General features: G+C 34.0%; 1 protein-coding gene across 4 annotated transcripts in view; it reads left to right on the top strand.

Annotated features, from left to right (window-relative positions):
* The window catches only part of FSTL5 (follistatin like 5), a 780,104-nt gene that overhangs the window by 32,038 nt on the left and 722,192 nt on the right, over window positions 1-25,874 (top strand). For all 4 annotated transcript variants that reach the window (NM_001128428.3, NM_001128427.3, XM_011532126.1 and 1 more), the window contains exon 2: window positions 20,551-20,692. In NM_001128428.3, coding sequence (NP_001121900.1) covers window positions 20,567-20,692 — 126 coding nt within the window. In that variant the 5' untranslated portion in view covers window positions 20,551-20,566. The remainder of the gene's footprint in view (window positions 1-20,550; window positions 20,693-25,874) is intronic.

Below are 25,874 nucleotides of genomic sequence, written 5' to 3'. Positions count from 1 at the left end.
TGTAGATTCTTGGATCTCATCTAAGACCCCTAGAATCAGAATATCTTTGGTCTGGCCTAGGAACTTTTATCGAACACTCTCTACCCATAATTTTCTTGCCTGCCAAAATCTGATAAGTGTAAATATGGTATAAGGTCTGCTGGTCTATGACTGCGGAAAAAGAGAAGGCAGGCTAGGAAAGTTAGTGAGGTGGAAACTAGCATCGAGCAGTGTCATTGCAGACACCAGTGGGCTCTCACTTTGTGGCTGAAGTTTCTGACTCATTCTCATGCTACTTATGTCTTTCTAGCCCAGGGAATCTTCTCTCAGTGAGAAGCCCCTGCTGCAGTAGGTACTCTCCAATTGCATGGGGTAATTTTATATCATTGTGCCATTTGATTACTATAATCTCTGTAAATAGAGTTGAATCGTTTAGCCACATCCTCCAGAGATCCAAAGTATATCTTTTGGAACGTGAATGCAATTTGAAATGAAGCCACCAGATGGCCAATTTTAGAAATGATCAATGAACTTGTTCCTAAGTGGACAACAGGTCCACACATTTTAAAATTTTTTATATAAGCAACTTTGATATTTTTATACCCACAATCCATAGTTTGTCACCATGTGAGTATAAACAAATACATTCATTCATTTAATATAAAATATGTTTAGGGCTTTATTAGTGGCTTATAAGTGAAAAGATATCCTCCAATGAGAAATCAATCATGTCCTATGGGCACTCAAATTACTCAGATAATACCTGAGATTCTAATTCTATTCAATTTAAGGGTGACTGTTTTAGTAAAGTATTTTTGCTTTAAATATATTCTTAAGTCTTCTAAAGGGATATTACAGCTTACAGAGCAGACAATGATCTATAAACCCATTGGACCACCACATTTGCAATGAGCATAATTTGTGTTCTAATTCAAATGACATGTTTATATAGGCTATAAGTATTTGGGCCAGAAAATATGACTCTCTAAAATAATATGTGATTAAAAGTAATTTTTATTTTCATTTAATATTCTTCACATATCTAATATGTTCAATGTGTTATTGGCCATATTTAATATCTATATTATAAAAATATTGATAAAGTTAACATTTAAAAACTATATAGCCATGTGAATTGTAATTAATTAGAATCTCTTGATTTTTGGTCATCATGAATAACAGTGATCCAAATCTTTTGTCAATGTGTTCATCTTGGGCAAATCACTGCACATTCCTAAGCCTCAGCTTTTTTTGTTGCTGTTATAAGTTTAATTATTCATATAAGCTATGTAATATAGAGCCTCAAATAAGGTAATCACTCAGAAAATGTTTGCTATTGTCATTATTATATTGTTTTTACTCTGTGGGGCTTGACATATCTGGAAAAGATTTTTCTACAGTTTTCTTTGCCCTAATGCAGCTTGTATAAACACAAAAAACTAGGAATGAAAAAATCACTTGTACTTGAAGTTGTTTCTTATTTAATATAGACTAATAGTCATTTGAAAAAATATAGTTGTAAGGATAATAAGCTTTTGTTCACATAGGGCATGGATATTTAGTTCTTACGCCTTTCTAATCACTTGCGTAGGAAACACAACATTCTTGTTTGATTGAGCTTGTTTTAAAAGACTATATGCAATTTTCAAACTCATGAACCTCTTTATTATGCACGTGATAAGGGTTAAATGCATAGTTATCATGAAACATTTAACACTGTATTACTAAACCTACGGGTTTAGGAATATTCCTTCCTCCTAAGAATGAACCCACATAGACAGTGAAAACAAAAAGAGAGTTTTTCCACTTTCAGACACATGATTTTTTTCCTAAACTCTTCATCAAGTGCACAGGGATGGCAGACTACAGTCATTTTACAAGACCTCCACTTCGTTGCTTAAAATGGCAGGGCGATTTCAGAAAATGAAAAATGCTCAATATCTATGTGGACTTTATCCCTCTAGGCTCTTTAGAATTCTATTGCTTTATATTTGTAATCTCACTGTGTTGTCTTCCTAGGATATATTTATAGTGCTAGCATGTTGCTTCTTTAAAAAGAGCACATTTAAAATCTTGTGATGAGTAAATCTCAAAGAAATGATGCCTCTCTTTGATTAAATCTTTCCTATCCTTCCTTCATATTATAGATATTTCTGACTACTATCTCTAAAGCTATACAATTTGGAAAACTGTTCTGATTACTTATTTAAATTTAGCATCTGCATAAAACAGACAGAATAAAATTGTTTAATTTACATTGAATTATTGTGTAAGACAAATTTGAGAGGATTATTTTTTCATTTTGTTTTGTTTTCAGCATTGGAGCTGTGAGATGCCTTCTCTTATTAATACTGCTATGATATATTTTGGTGACTATTTTGGAAAGTTTCACCATTACACAGCAAGGCTTAAGTCCCTTCTCTGGGACAGATTGTAAACAATGTTCTGTTGATATTTTTGATTAGTGTTTGTTGATTACTGTGCTTTAATTAAGAACTTGCTATGTAACATCAAGTATATTATCAAAGTTTTTTCTCACTTTATCTTTTTGTAAAGAATATGACAATTTGCAGAGATTTGTTTGGAGATATTAAATTCCAGATGAGTTTTCTGGGAGATATTGTTTTAAAGCTTAACATACAAATGATATGCAGTAGGTTATCATTATAATATTTGAAGGATTACACTTTAGGTAAGGTGTGGATTTGAACAAAACTAATGAGTTAATTAACCATAAAAATAGAAAGTCTCGGCCAGGCGCCGTCGTTCACACCTGTAATCCCAGCACTTTGGAAGGCCAAGGCGGGTGCATGACCTGAGGTCAGGAGTTCAAGACCAGCCTGGTCAACATGGCGAAACCCTGTCTCTACTAAATATACAAAAATTAGCTGGGCGTGGTGGTGGGCGCCTGTAATCCCAGCTACTTGGGAGGCTGAGGCAGGAGAACAGGAGAATCGCTTGAACCCGGGAGCCGGAGGTTGCAGCGAGCCGCCCAGATGGCGCCACTGCGCTCCAGCCTGGGCAACAACAGTGAAACTTTGTCTCAAAAAAAAAAAAAAAAAAGTCTCAAACAGTAAGGTATTATAGCTGAAATTAACTTGGGATAACATGCTGCCAATATGTGACCAATATTTTTTATATGAAGTCTTTTACAATGAGAGTCATTTTAAGAAAAATATTTAATTTGCAAACATCATTGTAGATATATGCATACTAAATAATGAAATACATAGGAAGATCGGGAAAAAGAAAATACCAACAGCTTTTTTCTATTTTCTTAATCTTTCTTCCTCATCTTCTATGATATTGGAATAATCAGGTGGAGTTATTCTATTAGAATCTGTCTCAGTCCATTTAGGCTGGTATAACAAAATGTCATAAGCTGGGAAGGTTATAAATGTCAAGAATTTATTTCTGGAGGTTGGGAAGCCTAATATTAATGCAGATCTGTTGTCTGGTGAGGGCCTACTTTGTGGTTCAAAGAAGGTGGCTTCTCCCTATGTACTCACATGGTGGAAGGGGCAAGGGATCACTCTTAACCCTTTTTCATAAGGGTACTGTTCCCATTCTGAGAGCTCTGCTCTCAGGACCTAATCACCTCATCCCAAACCCACCTCCTAATATTATCACCTTGGTTGTTAGGATTTCAAAGTATGAATTTGCGTGAGACAGAAACATTCAGACCACAGCAAAACTTCTGATGAAAACTTGAAAAGACTCTGGGTTTTAGAAAACTTTATATCTAGACATATTGCTCTACAAATATGTAAAAATACTACAGACATATTACTAGAAGTAATTAGTTATATACAATCAGAGTTTAGTTCATCATGCTGATTCTTTTTATTTATCTGTGAGAAAGGTCTTTGGACTCTATAAATTCTAAGGTGTCTTTCAAATACATATAAAATTCTAGTTTTACATGTTTCATGAATTGGATTTATGTTGCCACCAAATTAACTTTAGCATATTAACTATTTGGACCATAGTTTTTGAAAATCTGTACAACTGGTGGGATTTCTTTTAAAAAGAAATGTCTTTAATAATCATTCCCTTAGTGAATAATTTGAATTACTTATAGGCTGTGTATCCCATAAATGTGTATTCCATTAATGATCTTCCAATGTTATCATCAATTTTCTTCACCCAAGGGTTTCTGTTAATGCATATATAAAATAATCACATGTCAACCCTTGTTTATAAAAGATCTCATTCAGATTGGCATTTTTTTTTCTTTTCTGTCTTCCAGATTTTCATAGTAATGTCTCAGTTCTATCCTTAAACTGTATATATATTAGTATTTTCAGTTCAAATTTGCATGTAACAAAACTCATGAATGCACATAAAAAATTACCTACTTCACTTTTATCACAAGAAAACTTTATGAAAATCCTATCATCTAAGTAACTTCAAAGAAACAAAGGTTGCAAGATATATGTTGTCATTAAATGCCTTACAAATGGTATTTCTGTGAAACTTAAAAAAATGCTTGAATGACTTTTAAGTTTATTTTTGGGCTCTACCCAATAAATAGTTAATGTTTGATTCATCCTTGCAGGTCTAATAGATACAGATGAATTATAGTGTGAGCATGCCTCAGGTACACCAGCAATTTTAAAACAGAACAAAACATACTGGTTACCTTACTTAGACTTTGAGGCTATTACAAAGCATAAACTATAAAACAGTAATAAATAAAATATAAAAGGGGAAATGAAAAAGGCATAGCTTTGTGGGGGTGTACGAGGCATAACTGGCAAAAGTCAAGGGTTTCCGAGGAAGTAGGAAAGGCAGCCTGGAGATTTAGCTCTTTGGGGAAAATGGGGAAGACAACTTTCTATTACAAGTTCTTGGAAGCTGCCACAATCAAACCAGTCCCTCAATCCAGGGACTAGGACAGTATTGATTTGAGGTGGGGTAAAAGGCTGGTCAATGGTGCGGCTTAAATAAAGCTGTGTGTTGAGAGAGGTGGATGCTTAAAAAAACCACGACAGTCAGGCAAGCTGACCACTAGGCTGGTGACTGAATCTGCAATGCTCTCAGCATAGTCAGATGGTGGAAGACAAAAGTTGCCAGTATCAGCATTGGAGGTAGACTTAAAAACACAGACAAACACGTACCATCTGTCAGGCCCACATGCACACATGCACACCCACAACCACCAAGTAAATACATAAGTGCATAAGATTATATTCCAGAGGAAATAAAATTTTGTAAAAGCCTGAATTTTTAAAAATGCATAATGCCCAAAAATCACAAGAAATTACAAAATGAAATCAGAATAAGTTAAATATAAAATAAGTTGTTACTTTTAAAAGACAAAATGATGTAAAATCTTGACAAAAAATCTATAGACATTTAAGTAAAAGTTAAATGGAGAGGCTACACATTAGATTATACACATTAGATTATAAAAGGAAAAAATGATGAATTGTAAATACTACTGGAAATTTCATCAAAATAATATGCTAGACTCCGAAGAGAAAAAGTAAGTTTAATAAAAAGGGTGTTAAAAACTACCAAATAAAAGACACATTGCCTACAAAAGAATCATAATTAGATTAACAGGAGACATCTCATCATGTTTTAAATGCCACAAGACATTTGAAAGTGTTGGGAGAAAGTTCTAGAATTATTCACATATCTAAGATTTTAATAAAGTTATTATTTCAATTAATAATTTTAATATTAAGGGCTAGTCAAAAATTTTAAGATACAAAGAACGGGACATGTTGCCTTTTATTGGCCCACATTGAAAAACTATAGAAAGGTTTATTTCAGCATAAAAGTAACCTCTTAGAAATGTATGGAATACAAGGAAAAATGGCAAGCACAGCAGTTAAGTAACTATTGACTTTAATTGTAATAAAAATTGATTTCTTATATTTTAAAGGTAGAATTATTATTCTTATTAATTTCATATGTTTGGTAAAACATTTTTAAAGCTTAACATTTTGTCTTCTTCAAAAGAAAGATACATTGAATATTTTAGACTTTGTAGGCCTCTACAAAGAGAAAAAAGGAGATAATACTGAAAATGTTAACAATCCAATATAAAGTATGAAAGAAAACAAAAGAATCAAAGATATACAACAGTAAACACACACAGGCACAAAAGTACATGTAGAAATATGTTCAAATATATTAGCAATCTTAATAAATGTAAATATATGAAATTTATCGCTTAAAGATAAATTTTTGTTATAGTAAAAAAACAACTTTATACACTGCTTAAATAATAAACACCTAAAGTAAATTACACTAAGGATTAAAAATAAATGCAAATCAAATATGAATTACAATGTCTGATGAAGACTGTATGCGTTCATTCTAAAGTGAATATGGAAGAGAAAAGAACCAAGGATTTCCTTATTGAATATCAAGAATTATTATCAAACTCTAGTAGTTAAAAGCTGTGGTATCTGCATAGGAATAGATAGTTTAATGGAAACAAATAGAGAACTTAAAAACATAACCACAGATACAGGTAAATCCCACATCTAACCAAAAGAGAATTATAAATCAAATAAACTTTTCAAGAACCATAGTTTACTTTCTACAAGAATAAAATAAAATCTTGTCATTATACTGTGCCTCAAAATTAATATCAGGTCAATTAAAAATTCAAATAAAAAAATTTAGTTACAAATATACAATAACATTTTTTAAACTGCAAAGGTAGTTTTTCTCAAACATGACAGCTTTATCATAAACCATTAAATAAGTCAGTGAATTGATGCATTATAATTAAAAGTTGTATAAAGTAAAAATTAAAAATATAATTAAAATTTCATTTTTATAAGATAAAATGTCCAGAAACCAAAATTGATAGAAAGCTGTGTCCCCTGGGCTAACGGCCCTACTTGCTTTATATGTAATTTTACTCCTTAAGGGTTGGCCTTTGCTATTTTTGTGTTTGCTGTAGGACAATCAGTGGGCTGAATCAAACTTACAGCTTGCTTTTTAAAGAAAAGTAGTGAAGGCCAGGCGAGGTAGCTCATGCCTGTAATCCCAGCACTTTGGGAGGCCAAGGCGGGCGGATCACGAGGTCAGGAGATTGTGACCATCCTGGCTAACACGGTGAAAACCCGTCTCTACTGAAAATACAAAAACAAAATTAGCTGGACGTGGTGGCGGGCGCCTGTAGTCCCAGCTACTCTGGAGGCTGAGGCAGGAGAATGGCGTGAACCCGGAGGGCCGAGGTTGCAGTGAGCTGAGATCGCACCACTGCACTCCAGCCTGGGCGACAGAGCGAGACTCTGTCTCAGAAAAAAAACAAACAAAAAAAGGAGTGACCTAAAAGAAGCTTTTGAGTATGTTTTGATAGAGTCTCCAGCCAGCGTTCAGTATTATTTTGGCTGCTCTCTGGCTGTTCAAGGGCTCATTTTTCAATAGATTATCTCATTAAAGAGACTTTTATCTATCTCATCCTCTGCCCAGAAGAAGCCATTATGCTTTCCGGTTCTAGTCCTTTAAGAACAGAGGAAGGGAGGTACACTTCACTATCAATCTGGGCCCAACCAGTTATACTGGGAATTTTATATTCATTACCTAGAGAAGAGGAGAGAATGGAGAAAGAAAGTTGCTAAAAATTACTGGTGGTCAGGCTTACTGTGTGGATTTTACAGAATTACAAGGGTTCTGAAGCAGGCCATAAATGGGTTGGATGATACTACTAAATTTTTTACACCTACCCTCAGTCTAGAAACAGCATCTTGATGGAGTTGCATATAAATTCTAATTCTGTGTTTCTTAAATTCAATGTAATAGCTATCTCTAAATTTAATTAGAGGCGTCATTTCAAAAGTTCACTTGTGTAAGCTTCTCAGATATCATACTAGTACCAATGTATTGTCTTTATTATCTGTTAAAAGCATTTACTTCAAAAGACATAAGACATATAATTTTAAGTGTTGTTATGGATATATTTTCTGAACTCATCTGAATACTCTACCTAGATTAGTGTATTTTTTGTTGACAGATTATCAAGAATTTGAAAGCTCATGGTGTAACTGTGCCTGGAACACATTATATATCCAATAAGCACTTTTTACTGTTATATTATAAAACACTATGTTGCTGCTTTCTTTTCACCTTTCTTCAGTTTTTTTTTTTCTTTCAAAATCTGATACAATTTAGTTAAAAAAAAATCTTTTACCTGTTGCCTCTTTTTCAAACTTGAGACACTGGTCCAAAATAAAATGTAAGTTATATGTCTCTTGCTGAAAACAAACTCAATTTCTGCAGTATTATTTGCTCATGACTTGGGTTCTGACCACTGGCTATGATTGACCACATAACCAGATGAAATAGTTCCAGTAGCTTTAGAGTTTTCTTGCAGGGTTTCAGCTCTTCTTGTCTGTTTTGGTTAAACCACTAGGAATGTCCTCAAGTCTTCAGTTGAGTGAGCAAACGTTCATCTACAAGGATAGTTTACTCTCCACTTTCCATATTTTCTAAGAAAACATGGAGACTTTGATTCTGAGAAACTTTGTGAGAATCTTTATAGTGCAACTAAGCATTAACCTATCTTCCCTCTTTCCCCTGCACACCAGGATGGCCACATCTCTCTTTCTGGGATCTCTCTGGAAAATATCTTGGGTCTTAATTACTTCTACTAACTGTGGACTATTCTCAGACTCTCCACAGTATTCTGAGAATGAACTAGAATTCCTCTGAAACTTAGCTGACCCCTATGAATGGGCAAGTTTTCCCCGTGGCATTTCAGTTTTAAATACAGAGGAAATTAAGTTGTTCCCTGTGCAGCACTTCATTGTTAAACTGTAACAGATTTTTTTTTCTTGTACAATAAATGTAGGTCCAGATTTAAAGAACACAGGCTGCTGGAGACCTTGGTATGGAATAGGTTGAATTTAAAATCTGTCTGACATTGACAAAATTGCAATGATTTTTTTTAATAGCAAATAAAATCTGTAACATAGTACCTCTGGGATTTTAAGCAAAGTCAGTCCTAAGAGCTGTATTCTTCCTTAATTTACATTTTAAGTGCTCATCAAGGTAGAAGGCAATGAATTCAGAAGACAGAGCCTATAATAATTTTCCCTTCTCTTGAACCAGGGAAAGATCTTCAAGGTCATATAATGTATTATGATTTTCAAACTTTTAAAACATCACTTTTCCACATTACACTACGCAAACTTAGGTGTAGCTTACGTACAAAGTAAGGCAATAGGCCTTTTATGCCACACACATATGAAATGTGCAATAAAGTACATAAAGAGTGTTTAGGAGAAAAAGTTTTAATTTGCATGATAACATCCATTTGCTACCTACTTTGAGAAGTAATAGAATATGTTTTCTTAACTTTCAGCTTATATTACTATGACATACAGATGTTGTTCCTTAAATTTTTATTGAAGATAGTATTGAAAATAAATTTAAAAAAACAAAAATTCAACATTGTCAGTCTGATTATTTCTGTTTTCAGAAATTTAACATAACAAACTTGTAGTTTTAAGAGAGCAGGTGAGAAAAGGAAGGTGGAAAAAGAAACTACAAGACCATGACTAGGAAATGAAGTGAAATCATGAGAATATTGTTTGTGTTTGAAACTAAAGGGAGGAAAGATCAAGTACAGTAGTGACCTCCAAGCAAACAATTTAAGTGGATTAGTTAGTGGTAGAAGCGGGGAACAGTGGGTTGAGAATGTTAATGCAAGTGTTAAGAAAATCAGTTTATGAGCCCAGCCACAAGTAGAATGATGTCTTTTGACTTTTAACCTATTGTTCTTTCTACTATAGTATGTTGCTGCTATTAAAAGTACTTTTTCTGAATTGGTACAGTTTTGAGAAATAAAGTTAGCCCTTGAATGACACAGGGTATAGGGTGCCAACCCCGTGCACAGTATAAAATTCAAATATAACTTTTGACTCCCCCCAAACTTAACTATTAATAGCCTACTACTGACCAGAAGAAGCCTTGCCTATAACATAAACAGTCAATTAGCAGGTACTTTGTATGTTATGTTAATATATGTTATATTCTTACAATAAAGTAAACTGGAGAAAAGAAATGTTATTAAGAAAACCATAAGGAAGAAAAATATATTTACTATTCATTAAGTGGAAGTCAGTCATTATAAAGGTCTTCATCTGCATCATCTTTATGTTGAGTAGGCTGAGGAGGAAGAAGAAGAGAGGTTGGTTTTGCTTTCTCAAGGATAGCAGAGGTAGAAGAAAATTTGTGTATAAATGGAACCGTGCAATTCACACCAGTCTTGTTCAAGGGTCAATATTGAAGTAACTTTTTTTTAGATACTGTCATATATAAGCAAAGCTGATACACAGTAGAGAAGAGCTAAGTACAACATACTGAGATATATCACATTATTTTGGCCATATTAGGACATCATTTTAACCAGTCATTTTACACCATGATACAGACCTCCGCTTTCAGCAAGGTGGGAGACTGATGGTCCATTCTGTGTGTATACCAACATACATAATCCCCAGTTCTGAAGGCAGACAATATGTTTTTTAGTTTAAAAATGGACATGTAGAATTAGTTTCAATTCAGTCAATATGTAATGCACCTTTTCACTATTGAATCATGAATATATTACAATGCAGTCCAGGGACTTGTTTTGAGAGGTAAAAAATGAGTCACTATATGTTGTATTGCTTTTTTGGACCTAAATTTGAGATATTAGTATATAAGATTTGAAGTCCCAGCCTACTGTAATATTATGCAACTTAAAAGAAATTTCCTTGGCTAAGTTTTAGTAAAGGTTTGTTCTGTTTCAAAGTTGTCAAAAATGCTTTAAAGTATATATGCTATACTATATATAACCATCTCTGTATAGCTATAATTATAAACATCTATATGTTTATATATCTATATATCAATAACTAAATGTATATTTACATACAAATTCAAAATTATATATATTTATATACAACCATAACTGTAACCATCTTTGTATATAACTAGAACCATAACTATATATAAGCATACTCTCAGTGAACATCATTGTGAGAAACCAAATGTATGAACCAAAAACTCCAAAACTTCTACTCAAATAGATGATTCTATAAAGATGGTTACTATGATGTCCTTTCAGTTGACTTTAGAAATTCTAGTGAGTAGTAAAAACAATTTTACTATGCTTCACAGAGACATAGCTGTTAAAAAATTTCTTAGACACTAAGCACTTGTACATGTGTGTTTTTTCTTTCCATAGTGAAGAGGTTATAGTCAGGTATGCTGTAGTATTTTTTAAAATACTATGCTAGGAATAAGGACAGCTGTATTCTAGAACCACTTTTTATCATGAGCATACTGTTAACTTCACTTTTTGTGATAACTGCAACTTAATTTTTTGACTCACTTCACAGTCAATTCAAATATTTTCAATTATGTAAAGAATAATAAAAATCACTTAATGTATACCTACTCTTTCAAATTAATTTCACTTGTTCTCATTTACTTCAAATATTAAAAGAAGGGGTTGGACTAAGTCTCTAGGATGGTTTTCAGTTCTGTTCTCTTGTGTTCTATGATGTATTATGTTGTTCTTAAACATTTTGCTTTAAAATGTGTTTTTGTGTACCAAAGGAGTTAATATAACTACAATATAGTTTTTCAAGGTGTGGATGGTTTTGGACAACAAATATTTACCACATAACATGGTTCTAATAATGTGGGGCTTTCGTAAGTACCATTTGTTTAAAGCAGAGTATAAACATTTCTATTTGAAACAAAATAATGGAACTAAGAGTGAATACTTTCTCCTAATGCAAGCTCAAATTCCTGTACGTTTTACATCTCAGTACCTCTAAAATAACAATGCAATTATTTTATCTACATTTAGCCTCAAATTAAGCTGGTGATTGAAAGGTATAATTGATTACAATTTGGAAAGTTTGTTCCTCCAAATTAATGACTGAGATGTCACTGAAGAAAAATTTTCTCCTTTTTTGAAAGGGTAAAATTAAATTAATGGTCTTAATTCTTTTTATTTATTACTTAAAATTATATTCTTATCCCACATACTAAGAAAAAAAGTGTACTGTGTATGTTGTAATCTTTCAACATGGAGCACTGCATTGAAAAATGTTGGATATTTTCACAGTATGGACCAATAAGACAAATAATTTAAAACTAGAGATGGAGGATACTAGAGCCTGGGAAGGGTAGGGATAAGGGGGCACAGGGACAGATTTGGTAAATGATATAAAATTAGAGCCAGATGGGAGGAATAGGTTCTAGTGTACTATAGCACTGTAAGATGATTACAGTTAACAGTAATATATTATGTAGTTTCAAACAGCTAGAAGGAAGCTATTGAATGTTCTCAACACAAGGAAATGAATGTTTAAGGTGATGGATATGCAACTTACCCTGATCTAATCATTCTACATTGATATTAATATTATGCCTATACATTAAAAATGTACCCCATAAATGGGTATAATTTTTGTCCCAATTTAAAGCATAAAATCCTCTGTAAAAAAGAACTGAAAAAATTACCATGTTTGCTAGTGTTTTCATATAGATTTGGAAGGCCTTTTACATACAATCTGGACATAGCAGTCACATGGCTAGTTGCATTCATTATTACAGCATTTGTTTAACTTGTATCTTCACTTACCTTGATCTAAAGCAAATTTAAGTGAAATGTTCCCTCTTCCAGAAGTATTCAGTATGAATAATTAGTTGTTTTTTCTGTGCAGATAGTTCTTGTACAGGAAGTATCTTTTATCTGATTCATTGTGTGCACCTTTTTTTTTTTTTAAGAGAGATAGGATCTCACTCTGTTGCCCAGGCTGCAGTGCAATGGTATGATCATGGCTCACTGCAGCCTCAAACTTCTGGGCTTACGCAATCCACCCACCTAAGTCTCCCAAGTAGAGTAGCTACGACTATAGGTGCACACCTACATTTCTGGCTAATTTTAATATATTTTTTAGAGAGGGGGTCTTGCTATATTGCCCAGTCTGGTCTTCAACTTGAATTTCTGGCCTCAGGAGGTTCTCTCACCTTGTATGTGTGTCTTAAAAGTAGTATTAAATAACAAGAATAAATCAGATTTTATTATAGTCAGCCTTGCTACTAACTTTTTAAACTTGGACATTTCATCTGTATAAGCTTTTATTTTTCTTTATGGTAGTCATATATAGGCAATAATACTTACTGAAAATATTTTTGGAGAATTAAGTACCATCTGGTACTACCCTACTATATCTAGTAGGATGTATAGGATCTGTTTTCCCTTTCTTGCTCTTCTTTATGGATATACAACATGAAAGGCAGTAATTCCTTGTTTTTGTTGTAAATGGTGCTAGTTAGAAAAAGTATTTGCAGCTGGTACAATGACGGGGCGGCAGCCAATTCTCTAATGAGGAGAATGTGCTGCTTAATGGAGAAAATCCACTTCTCTGAAAGAGGGAATCCATTGCTCTTATAAAACTGGACTCTTCTCACGCCTGTAATCCCAGCACTTTGGGAGGCCGAGCGGGGCGGATCACGAGGTCAGGAGATCGAGACCATCCTGGCTAACATGGCGAAACCCCGTCTCTACTAAAAAATACAAAAAATTAGCCAGGCGTGGTGGCGGGGCCCTGTAGTCCCAGCTACTCAGGAGGCAGAGGCAGGAGAATGGCGTGAACCCGCAAGGCGGAGCTTGCAGTGAGCCGAGATCGCGCCACTGCACTCCAGCCTGGGCGACAGAGCGAGATTCCGTCAAAAAAAAAAAAGACTCTTTGGAGAATGCTTTTTCCTAAGAAAAATATTAAATTAGAATTCAACCACAGAGTTCACAGTAGTAGGTGTGTAGTTAAAGTGTCTCAATAGATGAAAATAACTGTTACAACAAACAAACTTGCCTGATGGATGTTAGAGAAGCCACTCCGGTCCTTCCAATTCCGGTTAAGGTAAGGAATAAAAAGCTTTTCTGTCCTTGACAAGGGAGGTTTTTCCCAAAAGAACTTCCCATTGAAAGCCTAGTTTTGATCCAAGTGTAAAAGAAAGGGCTTTTTGCGATAACTGCAACTTAATTTTTCGACTCACTTGTCAATTCAAACAAATATTTTCAATTCCATAAAGAATAATAAAAATCACTTAATGTGTACCTACTATTTCAAATTAATTAATTTTTATCAATTTATTCATTATTTTATTTACCCAAAAATATTTATTGAGATTATACTGGGGGCCAAGTACCACTTTAATTTACAGAAATGATTAACATAGTTCTGTCTTTACTGAGTTAACTTTGTGGTTGGATACAGAGAATAAACAAGCCAATAGCCAGGTAGCAATTCAGATGATGAGGAGAGCTGTGGCTTCCAGTCATTTCATTTGAATAAAATTTTTCATCTCTTATTTTTCCAAATTTACCATTTCAGTATTCTTATTTTCTAGAAATATATAATGTGTTTCGACTAAACCTGCCTGACAGCATAGTCTTTGGACCTCTTCTCCTCTCTAATCACATCCTTCTCCTGTCTCGCACCTAGATTGGATGATTTATAAATGTTAAGAACCCCAAACAGGTATCTCTAGCCCATATCTCTTTGCTAAACTCCGGGTTCCTATATCCCAATGCTTAGCTAATATCTCCATTTGGACTACCAAAAGGCATCTCCAAAAAGAAAATGCCATTTGCTCTCCCAAACCTGTTATTCCCCCTTTCTCTTCTCCAACTTGATAAATCTACTCAGATGGAATAATCTGGTACAGGTGCTACACTATATTGGATCGTAAATCCCCTCTGACAGATGGGGCCCACCCAGGGTAATCAGTTTTGCTTAGGTTACACAGTAAGACCCAAGGTAGTCTAGAAGTCAGTTTTCCTGTCTCACAGAATTCTAGGATACCAGAAAAGAAAAAAGGCACTAGTGAGCATTTACAGCTCTTTTCTGCTGCATAATAAAGCCAGAAGTCTGTGGAATGTAAGAAACTTGCTAGACTGTGGGTACTAGTTTAGTACATCTAAACTACTTTCTTTTACATCTTTGTAAGAGTGATAGCCTTTCTAAAAGCAATAGCCACAGTGTGAGGTGAAGTCACATAAGAAAGATACAGAAAAATTGCAGCAGAGAACAGAAAGCCTGGGTAATGTCAGAGAAGGTCTCACAAAGAATCAGGTTGGACTTACCTCTGAAAAGACCCATAGAATTTTTCTAGGACAGGGTGAGGAGTTTTCCATTATGGAGTTGTGGCAGGGTAAGTAAGGCTAGGAGGCCATACCGATGTCTCCCTTGTGTGAAGCCTCGCGGGCTCTTTTCCCTTGCACCTTCCTGCATCAGCCTCTAACTCTTTTAAAAGGTAAGCGGTCCTACAGGATACCAGCAGACCACCAAAAGACTACAGCTTCCTGATATCTAGCACCGCCTGGGAAAGAGAACAAAAGCCCCTTATTCCTGATGTAGCCTCCCCAACCTCCAGCCAATTAGCACCAAAAGCCCAAGAAGCTATTAGCTACAAATTCCTGCCTGCGGGTGGGAGTTGGGTGGCAGGGGGCAGGGACTTCTCTGGGGTCTTGCATGCACAGCTAAGCTCAAGATTTAACTTATAGTAACCCTTTCCTCATTTTAGTGGTAAAAGCCCACACCTACGTGGAGATTTTATATGCTAACGGTACATGCGAAGTGTGTTACAGCATGTAGATACTGAGCGCATGAGCCAATTAGAGGTCGGCCTTGGCACACGTTACTTCAGCAGTATTTTATGAATATTCACATACAGCTCCCATAAAAGAAATTCCTCTTAAGGCACTAGCTGCAGCCTCACCCTTTGAGCAGCCTGCTCTACGTCTCACAGTGCACTGCTGCTTTGCAATAAACTTCTTTGCATACTCTTACTTTGAATTTGCTCTCAAAGTCTTTTGTGCCATTAAGTCAAGAACCTGAAATGGCCCACTCACAACAGAGTGAGAGGCAGGTGAGGATACTTAACCTCTCTGCAACAATTGATAATGTTGGAGATTTTGCTTCATCTCGACACTCTTTTCATTCAAAGGCATGCTACGACACTTTTCTTCTTCTCAAATGCTGCATTTTATTCTTAAGGCAATGCTTCAGTGGTCTTAGTTTTCCCAAGTGATTAGAAGTGACATTCTGGAGAATATGTAAACATATCAAAATCCCTCAAATTTGAATCTACTAAATAACGTAATTACTCTAAATCCTACCCCCAGCAAGCAGCATGGCATGTTTTGCCATGCGGAGAAAATAAAAATGGCTTGATTCAAAGAAACATATTATCTTTTGAAGAAGAGAGATCTCTGCCCACCCCCTCACCATTTTAAAGTCTCACTTTGTTAGATCTGAAGTTAGGCAGATACTTTTAGATACACATGCATTTTGTTTTCTTCAAGTTAATAATGAGGTTGTTTTCTGATGCTTTCCTGTGAAGATGGAGGTTACAAGGAAAAGTCACAGGATCATTATTGCACCATCTGTTCCAGCTGGTTTGTTTTAGTCACGTGCTTTTCAGTGTTGTCAGTGAGCTGTCAACAAACTGCCAATTAATTCTGAAAACCTAACAGGTTGTCAGAGGTTACTATACTAAGAAAGTGAGATTACGACACTGTTTATGGTGGGATCGATTACTGCTGATTTACAAAAAATTTCCAGAACACTTTCTGTGGATGAGTGAACTTTTAAAGATATAATAATGATATATTTGGATTTTGTATCTAAAGAGAAATAAGAAGATGATCATGATTCTCTGAGCATACATTGAGAAGAGCCATTTTTTAATTTAGGTTACTGTTTGATAACTATATAATTGGATTCATTTGTTTTTCTTAGTAATATTTCAATGAAGAAAAAAATTACAAAGTAGTTATTTACAAAAGAGGAGCACAGAAACTAGGTTTTGTTCTTTCTCTGGTCTTTTTTGGCTATTACCTCTGCACTGCTGAGCTCAAATGCCTATGTGTAACAGAAATCAGAGTTTTCCTAAGGAAAACTGACTTCTGACGATCTGACTTTTAATATTAGTTCTGTTTAGTTTTATTTGTGATACCAGTAAATCAATCCAGTCATATCATAAATTTTGCTGAGGTAAAGCATATATGTATATTTATTTTTGTATAACTTTGTATTACTGAGAAATTTGGGACTTGGAAATCTTAGGACTATCAATGAAAACAATTAATTATGATTAATCATATAAGAGATGTAGATGAAAATAGCACAAATAGGTTGCCTATACAGCCTTGAAGATTTACACACTGACTTATTTGTATCGACTTTTAGTGAAATGTAAGGTAGATATTTCTAGCTTACTGCCTTTGGGTAGATAAAATATTTCAGGATAATGTTGATCTAAGTCTGAATGCATGGGATCTAACAGAAGCTTTATAAGATTTTTAGTAACTTATTAAAGTTAGTTGTTAATTTGCTCTATATTTTATAATGCATGAAATATTTGTAGTCATATAGAATATGTGTGTGTGTGTGTGTGTGTGTGTGTGTGTGTGTGTGTCCACACACAAAGAGAAAGAGAGGGAAGAAGAGAGAGAGAAAAGGAGAGGGAGGGCAGAGAAAGAGAAATCTTAACTGAGCACTTTAAAGAAATTTCTGACCTCACTTGTACTCAGTCAGGGTGGAAGGAAGTTGTTTTCATGCCTCTTTCTTGACTCTCCTCGTGGACAACAGAAGCAGCAGATGTATTCAGAACCTTGTGGAAAATATCTCTTAACTTGAGCTGGTCCTTTTTGCTTTATTTTTGGCTCTATCTTGGATTTAATATCTTCCATCCAGATGTCTTATAAACAAATATTTACCTCTGAGAAAAGGATTAGGCTATACATCAAAATGACAAAAAAAAGGGGGATGGGTTGCAAATGAAAATATTTAGTTTGCTCAGGTTAGTTTTCAGAAGCTTTGTAGCATCAGTGGAAATAGGAATTGCATTCAACATTATCAGAATGTAAGGAAACATGATCTTTATTTTATCCTTGAATGCAGAATGACATTTATGCATTCATGTATTGTTCTGGGCTATTTGCTAGGCCCAGGTGATGTAATGCTGAAGAAAACAAAAATAAAAGCAAACAATTTCCTGCATTAACAAAGTTTGGATGAGAAAAAAGATATCTAATGGAGAAGACCCACATTTTTCAAATAATCATGGTTATGATTTATAATTACATCCCTGAAATGAAGGAAAACTGATCTATGGGAATGCGTAACTAAAACAAGTAACTCAGGGAAGGGATTCTTGAGAGAAATGTCTGATGTGTGAAAGTTTTTGGGTGATAAATGGGGCAGGGGGAAAGGGCCATATTTCAAGTGGAGAAAATACCTTACAAAAGCCTTATAGCAGAGACAGGCAAAATAAGTTCAAAAAACTGAATGAAGTTTAGTGTCGCAGGAGGTGATATCTAGAGGGAGAGAGAAACACATAGAGCTCAGACACTGGGAACTTGTCAGCTAGGTCAGGGATTTTGGTTTTTATCTTAAAAGTACGTGAAAATATGCTAAAGTTATTAATGAGTGCAATAACATGATCACTCAGGCTCTTGTGTGGAGAGTGGACTTAAGATGCATATATAGAAATGTGGAAGACTAGCGAGGATGTGGTTGGGGCAGTTTAGGTGAGAAGCGTCTTGACAGCTTGCAATAGAGTGGGGACCGTCAATTTGGAGGGGAAGCAAAGTTTGGGAATGTATTTAGAAGGTAGATATAAAAGAATTAATGATGAGTTTAATCTAAAGGGTAAACAAGAGATATCAAAGATGTTTCCTTGGTTTCTGGTTTAAGTACACAGATGAATGAAAATCTGGAAAAGTGTGGTGTTATGTGAAGGTGTGCATACTACGAGGGCTGTTTTTGAAACATGAAGGTGGAACTGTTAAGTAAGCAAGATATACCAATCTAGAGGTTGGGTGTGAAGCAATATATATAATTAAGACCAGAGATGATGTTGAGATAACCTGGGCTGAATGAATGAAGCAGGAATACAGGTAGCTAGCAATGAGATTTGATAAACCACAATATTTAATGGCAAAATAAAGCAATAGGCTGAACCTACTAAAGGACTGAGGAGTTTTCACAAAATCTACAGAAACAGAAGAGAGAAGTGTTATAAACACCAAAGAAAGTGACAATTTCTTCCACAAAACAACAACAAGAACAACAACAACATGGAATGGCCACCATACGTCTTGTAAGAATGGATTAGGAATGCCCACTGGTGTGTGTGTGTGTGTGTGTGTGTGTGTGTGTGTGTGTGTGATTGTGTCGGTTAGCTTTGAGAAAGCTAAAAAGTCAGTTTAATGGCCTGATGAGGTCAGAAGCGTGACTGAGTGAACTAGGGTAAGAAAAAATGGATGGAATGATGTATATATAACTATTCCAGAAATTCAGAAAGTAGAGGAGAGAAGTTACCTTCAAACACAGGCCATTTCTGCCTGTCTAAAGATGGAAGAAAATAATTGAGAAAGGGAGTTTAAAATTCAGTCAAGAACCAGACTCAGTGGCTCATGCCTGTCACCCCAGTGCTTTGGGAGGCCACGGCAGGAGAAGCACTTGACACCAGGAGTTCAAGACTAGCCTGGACAAGATAGTGAGAACCTGTCTCTGAAAAGTAAAAATAAAACATTAATTCGGCCTGATGGCACACGCTTGCCATTCTACCTACTGGGGAGGCTGAGACAGGAGGGTCATTTATGGTGCCATTGCACTCCAGCCTACATAACAAAGTGAGACCCTGTCGCTAAAACAGACCCAAAATACAGCATAGAGCAATGCTAATCAATTGATTAAGTTTCCCAAGAAATCAGACATAACAGATTGGCTTTGACAGAAGAAAAAGCTGCTCTCTGTCACAGTAGGGAAGGAGGTGTGTTGGCGAAAGTGATAAAGCAGGATATACTTGAACTCAAAGCTTAGATTTGTATGTTTGAAAAGGACTTAGTATTTATACAATAATGAGTTTATGCCATTTTACAACTTATTTATATCCAAAAACATAGAAAGGCTGAAGTAGACATAAAACTTTTAGTTTAAAGTGCTTGTAAAGCAATTTTCTAGGAAATGCCTTTTTAAATACTGAAAAAGTACATTAATAACTAAATATAATCCACCTGCATAACTTCTGTTGTACTCAGTTAATTTATTAAGTACTACCTATCATAGACTATCTTATTAACTTCTCATCAATATTTACCAGTGAATTATAATAACGGTAAGTCTATTAAGATTTGTTCATCAAACATACTCAAAGTTCAATATTTATATATTAATAATTGTATTCTGTACCGATAATTAGAAAATTAAGTATAATGCAATATTTTCTCTATTTTCCCCTTTTCTTTCAACCTTTTTTTATTAACTTTTTTCTTACCACATTTTTATCAGTCCCTATATTTCTTCTCATTCCATATTTTATATAGCTGTCTGAATGAAAAAAAGTATTTGTTATGATCAAAGGAATAATCCGTATTTGGAGATACTCACTTCTCATTTCCCTTGGCAACTACCAGCAAGTTTTGATTAGATTAATGGAGATTTATATGTGATATTAAATATTTCATGATACATGTTTTTTAATATATAATTCATTTTCTCTGATTCCTTGCAATTTTAATTTTGACAGGTGAAAAGCAATAAGGATGTTTAAGTGCTGGTCAGTTGTCTTGGTTCTCGGATTCATTTTTCTGGAGTCGGAAGGAAGGCCAACCAAAGAAGGAGGATATGGCCTTAAATCCTATCAGCCTCTAATGAGATTGCGACATAAGGTACAGTCAATATTCTGAATCTGCTCATAGTGCCTGCCAATTATAAACTAAGCTATTAGTTTTCTGGTTTATTATTCACTTAGGAGCACTTATTTCAGAATATGCTTTCAGTAGTTTCCATATTATTTTTAAAATGCACATTTTAATACATGAAATAGCAGTAAATTTGGAAATTTACAATTTCGAGAACTACTTCTTGACAAAGAATAGAGATAGCCCATTAAAAACATAATTATTAGAATTTACCTACAGTAATACTAATAAATTTATAAAGAAGTAAATATGAAACCCAATCTACCAGATAATTTATATTACTCCCATATTAATTGTGATTTTAGAAGATTTTAAACTAAATAAGTGTTATGTCCTATGCTTAGCTTTGTTATAAGATAAACAAAAAATTATCTACACTGTCTGCAGATATATAGGTTAGCAAAGGATTTCTTTCCATAGAAATTTTTAGAAATTTTCACAATATGGGGTTTTCTAATGTTGGACAAATACTCCACTTTTTATGTTAAATGTTTTGAAGTATAAAATAAACTGATATTTAGGCATATAATAAATTATAAACATTAAATACTTATAATAAATTAAGCTAATGTTTTAACAGCAGTCCATGATACTGAAAATAATATTCTCAACTTTTTATTAAATCACATAAAATTTCATAATACATTTTTGAGTTTTAAGAAAGTAGGAAAAACATCAAAAATAACATACTAATTATTGGAGAAAACTTTATATATTTGTAAAATTTCGTATTCAACTTGTCTATAAGAAAGACTTTTGAAATAAACAAATAGATTTTTTTTCCCCTTGGAATTAATATATGCATTTACACTGCATATATTTTTGCTGAAATTATTTTGTAAGTATCAAATATTTTGATAAAATAGCCAATCTTTACTGGGACTTTTGTGTACCAGACATTAAGCTAAGCTCTTCAATGTATTATCTGATTTAATCTTCAAAGCAATCTTATGAAGAAGTAACTATTTTCATTTTATAGGCAATAAATTAAGTCACAAAAAGGTGAAGGAATTTTCTAAATGCACACATTTATTAAATATATTAATTGGGATAATATGAAGGATAGATTCGATAGTCAACAAAAAAGGAAGTAAGTATAATGTAAAAATATACTTTAATGTCAAAATCATTGTAAAAATTCAGTTACATGTGAAAATAAATAAGTTTTTAAAGTATCTAGTCTTGACATATGCAATTGGAAAATTGCCCTTAACCTACCACTTTTCAATTATCAATGCTTTCTCCTACCTCATGGACTAATAATCAGTTTTATCCCCAGCTGAAGTTTAGAAATAATAACTCTTAATGTTCTCAGAACACATTATTAATATAGCAATTTGGTATATATTGTTATGTACCCATTGAATATTTATTCTGTGCTGTTTGTCTGCCCTAAGTTATGTGTCTTGAAATGAGGAATTATGCTTTTCTTTCACATCCTTTTATTTCTGGTGCTGTGAACATAAGAGACACTGTTTAATTAAATCAACGGCAGAAAAATGAATGCATGATGATGCTTTTCTGATTGTTCCCTTGCTAAATATCATACCACCGGTTTTAATGTGTTAGTATATACCTTTATAAACAAACTATTTTCAATTATGTTTGGATGCTAAAGAAAAACTTATGTGTTGAGGTTTAGTAAAGCTTTAAAGAAATAACACACTGAGTTAAAGTTGTTCGAGAAGCACTAATACCTACCAAAAATCATTGAAGTCACCTTCTAATATTTTATATATCTGTATGTCTTTATGGCTAAATAGAAATAATAAATGACTGTTGGTTTTAAAAGTAGAGACAGAGAATGCCTGGTCATATCTAACTTTCAAACAACTTTGAGCAGAGATGAGATTTGGTGAATGTGTGTGTGTCTGTTTGTGTGAGAAAGTGTATGTTTGACAGGAATGACTAGGAATCCTGGGTTGTACAAGTCCCTGTAAAAACCCCATCTTACACTTTGTACTCATTGTCAACCCTCATATTCAGCCCTCAGGAATTACCTTCTTTTCTCTGACACCTTGAAGATTGTATTAGAGCTTTTATTTCTGTTTGTGTCAGTCAAGATTAGGATCCCAGAAATTTCTGGCCTTCCTTTTCCCACTGATTCCCATTATGAACCCACTGGGTCCATACATCGCATTATTGGTGAGACCTTACCAAACAATGATTGAAAATGACAAGCCAAAAACATTCCCTATCAATTTCTTTGATTTGTTTTCATCCACAAAACTCGACACCATTTGTCAAGACATATACTTTACGTATTTTTTAGTTTGTTGGATGTTTTCTTTCATTAGGATGTGAACTACTTTTCATCTTGCTCCAAAATAAGGATAGTATTGGGCACATGGTACACGTTCAATAAATTATGGCGAACAAATGACTTTATCAGATGGCTCTAATAAGGCTGAAAACAAGATAACATATGTATCATATATACATATATATATTTCTATTTATCTAGTTAATAATTAAAATAAGTAAAATTTCTTTTTATTTATCAAACTAAAGTCAACAGCAGCACAATACTTCAAATTTTAAAAATAAATTATTTTAATAGCATCATACAAATTAATTTTCTCTTATTCATTATTTTTAACCTATATGATTTATTTAAATTGCAAAAATGTAAATATTTGTATTTTAAGACAAATAATGCAAAATCCATTTAGATTATATTTTGCTAATGTTAAATATTACTTATTGACTAGAAAAGTATAAAATAAATAATATACAAAATAGATCTTCAGGTCTGATAAGTCACATTTTACATTTTTCCTAGAAGAATGTAAGTACTTTGAATCTGAACAAAGAGATATATAGAGCTCATTTTTACCAAATATTTGTGTGCCAGCCATATAATGAATCCAATTTTGGAATCAAAAAGGAAAATATGAGACCTGTTTGTCAGATTACATTGAAATGTTGTAGATACAAATATAAAAATATGCAGGCATATCATTTACAACTATATGTAAACATAAATGTAATTGAAAATTTGTCTGTATCTTGAGATAGAAATGAATGACACAACAATCTATCATGCTAATTGTAGAAATCTTACTTATAATCCACAGATAAGAGAGGAAACCGATCATATGTTTTATCCCATGTGTTTACTTAACAAGCATGTATGGAACATCATATGTAGGAATTCATTCACTCTCTAGATTTGTAAAATACAATTACCAAATCCAAATTCCAAAAGTGGATTTTATTTACCATTTTAACTTAAATATTGCATACTCATATCATGCTAGGTGGTTTCATATACATTAATTATTGTAATTTATATAATAATCCTGGGATGTAGGGAATATTATTCCTGTTTATTCACATGGCATTATTAAAACCCAGAGAGGTAAAGTAACTTTACCAAGGACAAGAGAGAGTGAGAACTAATGAGGTCCTTAAAGGCAGGTAAAAGCAAAGGTAGGGCAGACATAGGGACGAAAAGGCCAGAAAATAAATAAAGACGATGATGATAGTAAAGCAAAATGACATTGACCTCAGGAGAAATATCTTATGTTCTTTCAGTTTGTTTTTCTTGTTCCTCCATAAGCACAACCATAGAATCCCCATGTCCATTTCTGAAATGAATGTCTTCTCCTGATGGTTGTTGCAGTCCTCATTTAGGCCAACCTCCCCATGAAGACTCACGAGGAAGCAATACTTAACCATCCTAATTGCAGGTCTGTGACCCAAAATCTGTGTGTGAGCACAGTGTAGTGACTATTGACAGTCTTGTGCATTTGTGAGAAAGTTCCTTGGACACTGGCAAATTTTGAGCCGTCTTTAGAATTAGTGTACTCAGAACAGCCATGATGAACTTGACTTAACATGTCACTGGGCATTGATTGTATAGCGGGTACTCTGTTAGCTATATTCCATACATTAGGTTACTTTATTATATGAATATTCTCATGGCATAAGTGATTTTATTGCTATTTTGTAAACGGGGAAACTGGAGTTCATAGATATTTACTAATTTCTTAATGTCACAGCTGGAAAGCCAGACAGCAGTATTTGGAGATACGCAGTCTAAATAACTTAATAGAGGTTACAGAATGAGTACTTTTGTAGTAATTTGGCCTGTATGCAATGTATTTCCTGTTCTCCCCACATTCATGTGATAGTAACATAGGCTTACATGTCTTGGCACTTTTGTGCTTGGTTAGGACCATGTGTCTAGTTCTGGCTAATGAGTTGGGGGCAGAAGTGCCATGCAATGCATCTGGGCTGAATTATATCATAATTCACATTGGATCACAATTGTAAAATCTTCCAGAACTCTCTTTTTTCTGAAGCATTGCAAACAGCGTCTGTTCAAGGTGGGGGCTACTTAAGTATTCCAAACTGCCTAAATAACTATGATGAGTAAAATGTCCTAACAATTAGAGATTGTCGTGGAATAAGAACTGAAGGGTTTTAAATCACTTCATTTTGTACATCATTGAGATTTGGGAGTTGTTGGTTATTTCATTAAAACCTTAGCGTTATCTGCAATCAAGACAGAACTAGAACTTAAACCCACATTACCTAATTACAAACCCTGTGCTCCTTTTTCTTTACCATTTTGGCTCCCTGTTTCATTTCTATTCTTGGCCTTTTCTTATTCTCATTTCTCCATTATCCCTTTCTTCTCACTACTTGCTTGGTTGTAATTTTCCATCCCAATTTAACCCCTGGCTATATTTATAATGATGTAATATGTATGTATTAATAGTTCAGCATATTAACGTGTATCTAATTGGTTGCTGGTTAAATCCTTTTGGGGTCAGTTACATAGCTTACAACCTTTTTTCTTAACTACAGTGCTGATCACACTGCTACATTGTTTGCTGATGATTATAATCAAAGTCAGGCTTGAGGGAAGATCTTATGAGGACAGACAAGAGTATTCTTTGAGTATACCTAGTGGGACCACTTAAAGTCCTTAAAATGCTTTTATCTCTATTTAACCAGATACTACTATGTCCAACTTTGTAGTGCAGAGCTACCTCCACAAATCTAAATTGACTTATGGTTCTCTTACTTACTAAATCAAAATGTTTATCTGTAAAGGTAGTTACTGAGCAAATGGGGCAAAGGGTGTACATGATTTAATAATTCCTAAGAGGGTTGCTATTTATGATAGTACAGTATAATT

The sequence above is a fragment of the Homo sapiens genome, chromosome 4 (assembly GCF_000001405.40).
Source record: "Homo sapiens chromosome 4, GRCh38.p14 Primary Assembly".
NCBI classification, from domain to species: Eukaryota; Metazoa; Chordata; class Mammalia; order Primates; family Hominidae; genus Homo; species Homo sapiens.
Note: the sequence above shows the minus strand (reverse complement) of the source record. Positions and strands in the feature narration are given on the sequence as shown.